Source organism: Homo sapiens, chromosome 18 (genome assembly GCF_000001405.40).
Source record: "Homo sapiens chromosome 18, GRCh38.p14 Primary Assembly".
Lineage (NCBI taxonomy): Eukaryota > Metazoa > Chordata > Mammalia > Primates > Hominidae > Homo > Homo sapiens.
The window spans coordinates 46,202,203-46,215,796 of record NC_000018.10 but is presented as its reverse complement, the minus strand read 5'-3'; the positions used below and the strand labels follow the sequence as shown (position 1 = coordinate 46,215,796).

The 13,594-nt window shown below is 39.6% G+C and overlaps 1 protein-coding gene across 4 annotated transcripts in view; it reads right to left on the bottom strand.

The window, feature by feature from the left end:
• The window catches only part of ARK2N (arkadia (RNF111) N-terminal like PKA signaling regulator 2N), a 93,440-nt gene that overhangs the window by 51,196 nt on the left and 28,650 nt on the right, over window positions 1-13,594 (bottom strand). The gene's annotated exons all lie outside the window — the stretch shown is intronic.

The window sequence follows — 13,594 nt, the reverse complement described above, 5'->3', positions numbered from 1 at the left end:
ACAAAGTCAATAAACAGAATGCCAGATTATTTAGTCAACACAACATGCCTACCTTTCTAAGTGGGTGGGGCAAAACTTACTATTACACAGGCCTTTAAAATATATATATATTATTATCTGCTTGTTTGATCAACAGTCAAATTCAAAGGACTTAATACGGTCAAAATCTAAGCATACTGAGCTACTAAAAATGCCATAATATTAATCCTCTAACTTGAAAGGCCAACATGTAATGAACATTTTCAAGTTTACAATTTTATTTAAAGTGTTCTACAAAGAAATCTTCAAAACTCTGATATAATTAATATGCATTCATTGACTTTGATATAAATGAAAAAGAATGCTTTAAAACTAGTCTAGAAATGCATTACCTGGAATGACTACTTTTACATTCAAATCCAAAAAGAAAGGAGGTGGGAGGAGGGGAGTTACAATAGAGAAACATCAAATGTTTTTGTTTGTTTGTTTGTTTGTTTTTGAGACAGGGTCTTACTCTGCCACCCAGGCTGGAGTGCAATGGTGCAATCTCAGTTCACTGCAACCTCCGTTGCCCTGGCTCAAGCAATTCTCTTGCCTCAGCCTTCCAAATGGCTGGGACTACAGGCGCACACCACCACACCCGGCTAATTTTTGTATTTTTTGTAGAGACAGGATTTCACCATGTTGCCCAGGCTGGTCTCGAACTCCTGAGCTCAAGTGATCCACCCACTGTGGCCTCCCAAACTGCTGGGATTACAGGAGTAAGCCACCGTGCCTGGCCCCTACATTTATGTTTAAAAAAACAAAAACACAAACACACTCCAACTACATGCATTTGGCAAATGAGCAACCAAATACTATGCATCCAACTTGTCTGCAGTCCCCTCAATAGGAGTTGCTCTAGTGAAGCATTAAGATGAAAAGCCAGAATTTGATGCTTCCTCAATCCTACCTAGCTCCCACATACCTCATCATGCTGAATTTGAGTCTAGTGTTTAAATAGATGTTTTATCCACAATGGTCACTAAATACAGAACCCAGAAAGCCTAGTATATTCTATGAATGAATAAAGGGATTTAAGAGAAAATACTCTACACCCATTGTACACTTTGTATGCTAAATTTAGAACCTAACACTCTACCACCACTGTGAGTGATACAACTCCAATTAACCATACAGGTACAGGACATAATATTTAACCTCAAAAGCTTATGACCTATATACAGTTAAGTCCTTACTTAACATTGTCAACAGGTTCTTGGAAACTGAGACTTTAAGTGAAATGACATTTAACAAAACCAATTTTTCTCATTAACCTTATAACTAAAGGACATCATTCAAAGACCAGCAGTATCTTGTTCCATTTAAAGTCGCAGTTTCCAAGAACCTATTGAAAATCTGGTGGTTTTTAAAGAGGATGCTAAATATGGAAAACAAGTAAATACCTTGCCCTGTATGTGTTACATTACAGAAAGCAACTATCATGTCCATAGGTCACAGACACACATAACCATTATTCTATACGGTATGCTAGGTGCAATATGGCATCTCCATCATCTCACTCCATCAAGTTACCTAGATAGTTCAATCTATAGCAGACAAAAACTAGGAAATATTTGCAAAATCCTTTAAAACAGATCTAACATGCCAAGCCCACTTTTTGCTTAATACAAACATAAATATTCTATATGCCTGTTGTTTTTCATAGCCCTGTTCTCAGCTGTTGATAAAACAGGCATTCTGATTAAGTTTCCTTAACACATTCATGGAAACCAGAACATTCATGGCCACTGAAACATCTGTTAATTTAAAACAATCCTAGGCCAGGAGTGGTGGCTCACACCTGTTATCCCAGCACTTTAGGAGGTGGAGGCAAGTGGATCACCTGAGGTTGGAAGTTCGAGACCAGTCTGGCCAACATGGTGAAACCCCGTCTCTACTAAAAATACAAAAATTGGCCAGGCATGGTGGCGAGCGCCTGTAGTCCCAGCTACTCGGGAGGCTGAGGCAAAAGAACTGCTTGAACCTGGGAGGCGGAGGTTGCAGTGAGCCAAGATCACGCCACTGCGTTCCAGCCTGGGTGACAGAGCAAGACTCCATCTCAAAAAAATAAATAAAATAAATAAAAAATAAATAAAACAATCTTGTGTGTAGCCTACTTCACAAGCATATTTGTATCAATTATAATACTAATGTTGGAGGCTAAGTGAAAATCAGCATAAATATTTTTTCTGACACCATTACAAAAAAATGTAACACCTCTGAAAGCCAACAGAGGGAGTAACAGTTAAACCAACGGAGACCGTTATAAATAAAGCATGCTGTCAATACAAACACGAAATAAAATATTCACAGATACAAAATACCCCCAGGTATGAGGAATAAACCCAAGTTCTTTTTTTTAAGCCAGTCAAATTTAGCAGTGGGGGGGACAAAGATTTTCTAACTGAATAAAAATGAGAGTTAATTCTATTATGGAGATTCAAATTGTATATTCTGGAATAATGATTCTTCTTAAGGCTGGGCACGGTGGCTCACGTTTGTATTCCCAGCACTTTGGGAGGCCGAGGCAGGTGGATCACGAGATCAGGAGTTCAAGACCAGCCTGGCCGAGATGGTCAAAGCCCATCTCTACTAAAAATACAAAAATTAGCCAGGCGTGGTGGCAGGCACCTGTAATCTCAGCTACTTAGGAGGCTGAAGCAGGAGAATCACTTGAACCCGGGAGGTGGAGCTTGCAGTGAGCCGAGGTCCCGCCACTGCACTCCAGCCTGGGCGACAGAGTGAGACTTAGTCTCCAAAAAAAAAAAAAAAAAAAAAAAAAAAATTCTTCTTAAAGCTAAAATATCTGAGAAAATATACTCAGATGGAATTAATGTCAGCTATATAGGACAAGCATCAAAAGTCTCAATTTGTGAAAGAAGGCAGCACTGGATATTTTCAAAGTACATAATACAGCATCAGACTAAAAAGTAAATTTGTTAAAATGACCATACAACGCTTGTTTCTTCAAGAAATAAGTTGTGTGGATAAAACAGGTAAATCTAGATTGTTTTTCCCTGTTAAAAAAAAATGACAATATGGCACATCATTCAATTTAATGATTATCTTTCAAGTTCCTTAAATTTGAGTGTTAACTGAGATTTAATTTATACTACCTAAATTAGTAACCGGTATTGCAGTCAAAACCACTTAAATATGCTCAAATCAATCACAAAAGACTAGTATTGACCACAAACAGGACAAAAGTTAGCTCATCATGGTATGTTCATACAATGTGGCCATTAAAAAAATGAGAAAGCACTTTATATAGAGAGGTAAGAAACAGTTCTCACGCAATTTTAATGAAAAAAGATACATTATAGCATTTATGTAAATAAATAACAAAACTATATTTACATGAGTTTATCTGTAGATGCATAGACTCTGGAAAGATACTTAAGAAAATAGTAATACCAGTTGAGAAGGAAAGCAGGTGAATAAGGGAACAGGAGAAGACAGTGTGGTATGCAGTTTTGTATCTCTTGAATTTGTGATGTATACAAACATTATCTATTCAAAAATCCACTCTGACATAAAAGTCTTCTGAAGAAAAAGAAGTTGTGCTTTTCTGGGGCCATAACACTAGACTACTCTTTGGGTCAAGCTTAGTCAATAAATTCTACTATGCTTTCTTCCTATAGTGGAATTTTGCTATAATTAATTAAATACAGGAGAAAAAAGTCACAGAAAGTGAAAATATAAGCTCTGACTAAACTCCCTTCAGTGGAATAAAAACGAAGTGCCCTAACCACAGGGGGAAATGATGTCATACATAAAGATTAATCTTTCCATACAACCAGATTATTTACTGCATATATTGTTTTTGGTCAAGGGGAAAAAAATAGGTTTTTCTGGTAGGAACAGTCAAGTAGCTAGCAGTATAAAATGATATAATTGTCAAATAGGAATTGCATCACATAAATGGCATAAAAGGCTATCAACCCTCTGGGTTAATGTTGACAGTAAATTTATATTCAGTGAAGTAATAAATACACAACATTTTTCCTATTAGAACAGCACTTTCCCCCATGCTGTTCTTCCCTCCAATCTAAACGCAACCTCCTCTACATGAGTACTAGAGCTCATCTCCCTCTCATTTCCCTAATATCTTACATTATTGATTATTCCTTGGCTCTCGTCCACCTGCCACACCCAACTGGACCATTCATTCATTTTTGAAATCCTCCTTTGACCTATCACCTTCAATCTCACATCTCCCTCTCCAGGTATCATGCTCGTCTTTCACAGTCAATCTTATTGTGAGAGTTGTATAAACTTCTATTTCCTTAACTCTCACACTCCCTTCTGCAACCCAATGCAACCTGACATCTCCTTCTATCAAACCAGTGGAACAAGCCTAGGCAACATGGCAAGACCCCATCTCTACAAAAAATTTAAAATTTAGCTGAGCATGGTGGCACATGCTGTGGTTCCAGCTACTGGGGAGGCTCAGCAAGGAGAATGCCTTGAGCCCAGGGGGTCAGGGCTGTCATGAGCCGTGTTTGCAACAGTACGTTCCAGGCTGCATAACAGAGCAAGACCCTGTCTCAAAAAATAAAAACAAAAGTAAAAAAAACCAGTGGAACATTTATTACCAGGGTCATTAATGACCTCACTATCTCTAAATCCAACATATTTTGGCCCTAATTTTACTTAATATTTAAGCAACATTTTATGCCTGACGACTCTCTCTGCTCTTTAAACCAATTAATGCCTTTCTTTGGCTTCAAGGTTTCTCTATTCTTCTGGTTAGTCCTTCCCAATCTACTTTGTAGGCTTAACTTCCTCTACCAAATCTCAGGATTTAATCCTAGGTCTAGGTCCTTTTCCCATCCACCAACGTGAGTTCTTTTTTTTTTTTTTTTAAGACAGGGTCTCACTCTGTCGCCCAGGCTGGAATGCAGGGGCGCCATCCTGGCTCACTGTAACCTCTGCCTCCTTGGCTCAAGTGATCCTCCCGCCTCAGCCCCCTCAAGTAGCTGAGACTACAGGTGCAAGCCACCATGCCTGGCTAATTTTTGTATTTTTTGTAGAGACGGGGTATCACCATGTTGCCCAGGCTGGTTACACACTCCTGAGTTCAAGTGATCGACCCACCTCGGCCTCCCAAAGTGCTAGGATTACAGGTGTGAGCCACAATACCTGGCCCAAAGTGAGCTCTTCTAAACCCACATTTTCCAATACCATCCCTAGACTAGTAATTTTATTTCTCCAACTCAGATCTCTGAGCTCTATACCAGTCCACCCAAATACCCAGTTGACATCTGTATTTAGATTTTGGAAAGGTACCACAATCACATCATATTCAAATCCAGATCATCTCTGATCTACCCCACTCTGCTCCTTCTCTGGCTTTCTCTAGCTCAGTAAATAGTACTACTATTGCTATTATCTCAGTTGCTCATGTCAAAAGCCTGAGTTATCTTTGACAATGCCTTCTTCTTTACTCACTGCATCCCATCATTCACCATGTCCATCATTCACTAACTCCTATCAATCCCACCTCTTTAATAGTTTTCTAGTCTGTCCACTATTCTCCATATCCGCTGTCACCACTCTAGACACAACCTCCATCATTTATTTTCAATAGTATTGACTATCATCACCTGTCTCTTCAAACTCAGTCTTTCTCCTATGCACCAACCTGTTCTCTACATAGCAGGCAGAACAATATTTCTACAAGGTAAATATGTTCTCTTTATGAGAGAAAGTATTTTTTTTTAAGTCCTAGAAGGTAGGGTAGAGGAGGATGGGTAAAGGCAAGTTGAGATTTATCTGATGTTTTTCTCTCCTTTTAAAAGGGGATTAAATATTGCTTTTTGATCAGTGGTGAATGTGGAGGAAAACAGATTATATGCAATAATCTGAAAAAACAGTTTGTTGGCCAGGCACGGTGGCTCACGCCTGTAATCCCAGCACTTTGGGAGGCCGAGGCAGGCGGATCACGAGGTCAGGGGTTCAAGACCACCCTGGCCAACATAGTGAAACCCCATCTCTACTAAAAATACAAAAATTAGCCGGGTGTGGTGGCGGACGCCTGTAGTCCAAGCTACTCGGGAGGCTGAGGCAGAAGAATCACTTGAACCCGGGAGGCAGAGGTTGTAGTGAGCCAAGACCACGCCACTGCACTCCAGCCTGAGTGACAGAGCAAGACTCCATCTTTAAAAAACAAAACAAAACAAAAAACAGGTTGTTAATTATGGACAATGAAAATGAATTCACTTTTTAGCCCTTGTACTCTTTAAGAAACTAAGATGACAAAAGATGTGTACAGCTCAAAGAGTTAAACCATGGAATTTAAGCAGTATACAGTGCTCAAACAGGAGACAGGAACTATAAAGTATAAAGCTGAATGAGGCTACTTGTGAAAATCTGGAAGAGAAAAGTTGAGGAAGTTCATATCAGACCTCCTTCTTGGTCAGCAAAGCTTAATACAAAGTGGAAAGAAGGCAGGCTTGGGGGTTTGTAAAAAAAAAAAAAAAAAAGTGGAGAAGTATTATAACATCTGCTACAGAGAATCTGACAGAGATTAAAACTGCTGAGTACAATAATTCATATAGTCAGAACAATTCACAATGCTCAATTTCCAAACTATGGGATTAACACAAACTTAAGAGGGAAAATGTGATTGCTTTCCCCTGCTCAAAACCCCTGCCCACCTTTCTAGTTTTCATCTCGGACCACACACACCCTAGCTCCCTCCAACTACCAAGAATGTCACATAAAAAGAGTTTTTTCCAGATCTCTGGCCTTTCACAGTCATTTTCATTTTGTACCTATCTTCTTGCTGGCTACCCTTCAGAAATTAGAATAACCCTTTGGTAAATGATACAGGCTAATATTTTTAGCCTTTGGTAAAATTACATACTAATATTACCCCTATGAAATGCATATTACCCACATTATCCTCCTTCACAGTACTTTGCACAATTTAATTAAGTAACTGTATACTATAACTGTCTGATGTCCATTCCACATACATAAGGACACATAAAAGATTTAAGAACAGAGCCGGGCATGGTGGCTCACGCCTGTAATCCCAGCATCTGGGAGGTCAGGGTGGATGGATCACAAGGTCAAGAGATCGAGACCATCCTGGCCAACATGGTGAAACCCCGTCTCTACTAAAAACATAAAAATTAGCTGGGCATGGTGGCACATGCCTGTAATCCCAGCTACTCGGGGGGCTGACGCAGGAGAACTGCTTGAACCTGGGAGGCAGAGGCTGCAGTGAGCCGAGATCACGCCATTGCACTCTAGCCTGGTGACAGAGCGAGACTTCATCTCAAAAAAAAAAAAAAAAAAAAAAAAGATTTAAGAACAGAAAATCCCATAACCAACTACCACCCCAGCTGATTTATCTCTATCTGTAATACACAAAACAGACCTTAACACAAAAAATATTATCACGAAAAAAGGCATCATTCTAATTTTGCATGGACTAATGATAAACATTATAAGAACCTGTGTATGTTTTCCCTGGATTGCAAATTTCTTAAAGCATAAAGCAAGGTCATTAGTTAAGGTGAGGATGAATGAGGTAGTACTGAAGTTTATCAGAGGACTAGGTGTGAAACAGTACTAGGAAAGTGAAAGAACCAGGGAAGTACAACATAGTATAATACAATTTCCAGGCAATAGTAAGGGCCCACTCTAAGGATTGTAGCCATGAACTTAAAGACTGGTATATAGGTATATGTTTTTCTCCTTTCAAGTTCAGCTGCATAAATACAAGTGCAGAGAAGGTAAAAGTTGGATTTAACCAGAATTTTAGTTTTGCCCAACAAGTAGAACGAAGCAAGAAAGAAGCAAGAGTGTATGCAAGGAAATCATTCTAATGATCACATCAAGAAAGTACAGAGCACTAAAAATGGGGTAGGCCAATGGAATGGACATCCCAACAGAGCCAAAGAATGTTGAAATCAGGGTACTGTAAAGAATGAGCTAGAAAGATAGAATCCAAGAGTGCTGTGAATGAAACAGATTATGGAAGGGTTGCAGTTATTGATAACTGACAGGATCTAAAACAATGCTACTGAAAGTGTTGTCTGTAAATCAATGTACACCTGCAGTGAAAGAAGTATAGAAGGTCAGGCGCCGTGGCTCACGCCTGTAATCCCAGCACTTTGGGACACCAAGGCAGGTGGATCATGAAGTCAGGAGTTCAAGACCAGCCTAGCCAACATGGTGAAACCCTGTCTCTACTGAAAATACAAAAATTAGCCGGGCACTGTGGCATGCGCCTGTAATCCCAGCTACTCGGGAGGCTGAGACGGGAGAATGGCTTGAACCCAGAAGGCAGAAGTTGCAGTGAGCTGAGACCACACCACTGCACTCCAGCCTGGGTGACACAGCTAGACTCCATCTCAAAAAAAAAAAAAAAAAAAGTATAGAAACTGAGTAATTACTGAGAAACTTAGAGCAACTTTATATTGTTACAACAATCAAAATCAGTACTTCAGCTACCTAGTAATCAATTTTTATCATATGTTATAAAATAATCAATCCACAGTGGACTAGAAATAAAAATATACTAGTCCTTCACAATGGATAGTTCAAGAAGCACTGGTTAGGGTACAACCATGGAAGTAGGTGACTGAGGTAAGGTAGTGGACAAAATCTTACAGGAGAGTTCCTCACATGACTTACTGAGTAGCGTCAGAAGGATCACTTATGTGTACACTGAAATCAGTAAGAATTGACCAGGTTCAGCGGCTCATGCCTATAATCCCAGCACTTTGGGAAATCAAAGTGGGAGGATTGCTTGAATCCAAGAGTTCAAGACCAGCCTGGGCAACACAGTGAGACCCTGTCTCTACAAAAAAATTAAAAATTAGTTGGGCATGGTGGTGCATGCCTGCAGCCCAGCTACTTGGGAGGCTGAGGTGGGAAGATGGCTTGAGCCTGGGAGGTCAAGACCGCAGTGAGCTGTGATTATGCCACTGCACTCCAGCCTGGGTGACAGAGTGAGGCCCTGTCTCAAAAAAATAAAAATAAAAGAAAGGGCTATGGCAGAGAGAGGAGGAGAATGAAGAGAAGTGGGTTAAAAGGTACTAACATACGGTAAGATAAAAGTAATAAATTCAATGTTTGATAGCAGGGGGAAAAAAACAAAACAAGGACTGTGTTTTAAGTATCCCCAACAACTCAGCTGAGTGATTCTCAAAGAGTTAGTGTTTAATGTCTGAGATGAAATGATTATTTAAATTACCCATAAATGAGATCAAACAGTATCAGTAAAGTCAGATTTGAGAGAAGATATTTTAAAGAGAGAGGAGACAAGTTTTCATCACAGATCAGGGAAGTTCTCTAAAAGAGAAAAAATGGGGCTGAAGACCACTCTTTGGGGGACTACAGGTAGACTACAGGAAGAGTAAAAAGTTTGGTGGTACAGCCAAGCAGTGGCTCACCCCTATAATCCCGGCACTTTGGGAGGTAGAGGTGGGAGGCTCTCTTAAGGCCAGGAGTTCCAGACCAGCCTGGGAAACATAGTGAGACTCCATATCTACAAAAAATTAAAAAACTAGCCGTGTGTAATGGTGCATGCTGGTAGTCTCAGCTACTCAGGGAACTGAGATGGGAAGATCACTTGAGCCTCAGAGGTTGAGGCTGCAGTGAGCCATGATCATGGCACTGCACTCCAGCCTAGGAGACAGAGCAAAGAAAAAAAAAGAAAAAAAAAAGTTTGGTGGTAGAGAAATAATCAACTTGGATTTGGACTGGATAATCCTCATAACACAGGTCTCTACTGGGGGCAGTGGCTCATGCCTGTAATCCCAGCACTTTGGGAGGCAGAGGTGGGAGGGTAGCTTCAGTCCAGGAGTTAAAAATCAGCCTGGGAAACATGGTAAAATCCCACCTATAGAAAAAAAATACAAAAAAATTAGCCGAGCATGGTAGCACATGCCTGTAGTACCAGCTACTAGGGAGGCTAAGGTGGAAGGATGGTGTGAGCCCACGGGGTCAAGGCTGCAGTGAGCCATGACTGTGCCACTGAATTAAATAATGCCTGCCTGGGCAACAGAATGAGACCCTGTCTCAAAAATATAAAACAAAACAAAACAACCCACAGGTCTCAAAAATATAGAAATACAGATTTTGACATCATTGGTATAAGGACAGATGATGGCTAAATACATCAGTTCATCCAGGGAAAAACCACAGTGAACACAGAAGAGACTTTAACAGAAATTAAAGTTCAAAAGATGTGAACCAATTGTTTTCATATATAAACGGATAGGCAAGGAATTATTTTTGGAGGGAAATAAGACATACCCGTAAAACACAGAGAAAACATTCCTTCTCGAAATGCGCTTTTTTGATTGTTAACAACTTCCTGTAGACTCAGATTGTAAGAAAGGACCATGATTAATGGAATCTTACCAAAGACCAAGCACTATCGGAAATCCTCCTGAAGATTTAGACATAGCAATGCATAAAATCATTAAGCACTCAATATAACTAAGACTTGCTTTTTACCCCTTTCCGTATTACCTGTGAACAACCATCATTAACCATCCTTTAACATCACTAAAATGATATAATGCTCCCATTAAAACAAATGAATAGGCCAGGTACAGTGGCTCACGCCTGCAATCCTAGCACTTTGGGGGGCCGAGGCGGGCAGATTGCCTGAGCTCAGGAGTTCGAGACCAGCATGGGCAACATGGTAAAAACCCGTCTCTACCAAAATACAAAAAATTAGCCAGGCGTGGTCGTGGGTTCCTGTAGTCCCAGCTAGGAGGCAGAAGTTGCAGTGAGCCGAGATCGCACCACTGCACTCCAGCCTGGGCGACAGGGCAAGACTCTGTCTCAAAATAAAAAATAAAAAAAATAAAAAAAAAAAGAAAAAAGAAAAGAAAAGAAAGCAGGGAAAAAAAAAACGAATAAACTAAAACTGTATCGTCCTTCCTAATGTAAGGAATGCAAAAGTCATCTGCTGTTACAAGTTTTTTGTTGCCACAGGCCCTTTTCCTTTTCAGTTGAAACCACAAGTTGACACCATAAACTGACAAAAGCACAGCCCATTAAATGATACGTTTCTAAGTAAGATTTTCCTCTACATTCATGTAAAATAGGGTATTCTAACTGCTAGCATTCTTGCATCTATTTATTTTATATTACCAACCTAGAATTGTAAGAAACACAAGCAGCTAATGCCTCAAATACGGTCTACATGAACCAGTTAACTTATATTGCTGCTCCACATGCAAAAGTATTAATATTAGATAATTCATGAATTCCATGTTGCTTTATTTTACAAAGCAACACTGAATTAAATAATGCTTTCTACTTAGACCAAAAAAGAAAGGCAACTTTAAAGAAGGTCAATGTTTTGCTAACAAAACAAAGCCTTTGCACACAAGAGGCTATAGTACTTTCCCTGTCACAGAAATTCAGGCTTACAAAAAAAGAAAAAAGAAAGCCTAACAGGTGATCCTGTTGATTCCCTTGCAATCTAGGACTGGGCCTAACAGGAAACCTTATGCTATTTATCTAATTTAGCTTCAATATCAAGTGATAGGGTATATACCAATCTCCCTTGAGAGAATGAGAGAACAAGGTATTTTGAATAGAATTTATCACAGTTTTTTCTAAGATTACTGCAGTCTTTCACTTTATATAAAATTGATACTAAAAATTCTGTAATTGTGACCAAAAAAAAAAAAAAGAACATAAAAATAAGTCTATAAGACACATACTACAGATCAACCTTCCATGCAGGTCTATTCTTACCTTCAATATTTAAATTCCTACCCACTTCCCTCCCCGTAAAAACTCAATCTATGCCCACAAATTTTCAAAAGGAATATGAGCCCACTAAAAAACAAACTAGGGGCTGAGTTCTCTGCTCTTTAAATCAAATCAGTCAGACTCCTTAAACATTTTTGGGGGTTGCGGTGGCTCACACCTGTAATCCCAGTACTTTGAGAGGCCGAGGCAGGCAGATCACTTGAGCCCAGGAGTTTGAGACCAGCCTGGGCAACATGGCAAAACCCCATCTCTACTAAAAATACAAAAATTAGCTGGGCATGGTAGTGCATGCCTATAATCCCAGCTACTCAGGAGGCGAGGCACAAGAATCACTTGAACCTGGGAGGCAGAGGCTGAGATCGTGTCCTTGCACTCCAGCCTGGACAAGAGTGAGACTTTGTCTCAAAAAAAAACCTTAAGAAAAATTTGATTGTAGTATTACCACACAGAAATGCACATCGTTAAGTGTGCATCCTGACACATTTATATAAAATGAACATATCCACGTAATGACCATATACAGAACATTCCCAACACCCCAGAAGCATCCCTCATGTCCCCTCTAGTCACTACCCACCCTAAAAAGTAACCACTTTTTGACATTTATCACAAATCATTTTGCCTGTTCTTTTATTTTCGTGTCAAGTTTCTTTAGTTCAACAATGTCTCTCAGGTTCATCCATGCAACAGTATGCAACAGCAGCTTATTTTCATCACTGCAAAGTATTCCACTGTATAACTATATCACAATTTATCTATCCATTCTACTCTTGATAGACATTTGTCATTTTTTCAGTTTGGGACATCATGAGCAACGCATTCATGAAAAGTTTCATACATGTCTTCTTGTGCACGTTTGCACATGTTTCTGTTGTATATATACCCAGGAGTTAATACAACTCCTAGATTAAGTCATAGAATATGCTTATGTTCAGCTTTACTAGAAAGTTTTCCCAAATGCTTCCATCAATTTGTCCTCCTGCCAACAATGTCTGAGAGTCTCTGTTTTTTTCATGCTTTACCAACACTAGCATGGTTGGTTTTTTGTTTGTTTCAGGCATTTATTTTAGTCATTCTGGTGGAAGTAAAACAGTATTCTCTCCAAGTCCATCATATCTAGAAGATACATGATCTACATATTTCTATTTCAGTCTCCAACAGAAAAGAAATGGGCAGGAATATCAGATCTAGTTTTCTTTTCTTTCTTTTTTTTTTTTTTAATTTTTATTTTTTTGCGACCGAGTCTCACTCTGTTGCCCAGGCTGGAATGCAGTGGAGCGATCTCTGCTCACTGCAACCTCTGCCTCCCGGGTTCAAGCGATTCTCCTCCTTCAGCCTTCTGAGTAGCCGGGATTACAGGCACCCGCCACTACGCCCAGCTAATTTTTGTATTTTTAGTAGAGACGGGGTTTCGCTACGTTGGTCAGGCTGGTCTCAAACTCCTGACCTCAGGTGATCCAACTTCCTCAGCCTCTCCACACAAATATAGTCTACACAATCTCTTCAAACAAATATAGTCTCTTCCTTCTCTATAATCCCTCCAATGACACTAATGCAGCAGTTATTTGAGAATATCTTATTTCATCCTTAAGTAAAGTGCCTAGCTCATGCTAACTACACACAAATAAATGCCTTTCCTATGTTGAATGCCTTTTCTATGCTACAAGTACATGGGTGCTAGTAGGACACTTTTCAGCTAGTGTGCATGCTACCCAAAAAGGGCAATCAGATCCTGAGGAAATTGCAACATTTTTAATATTTTGTGAACTATCAACAAAGTAAGAGAAACTCAAAGTGTACCTCCCAACAGACACAACAG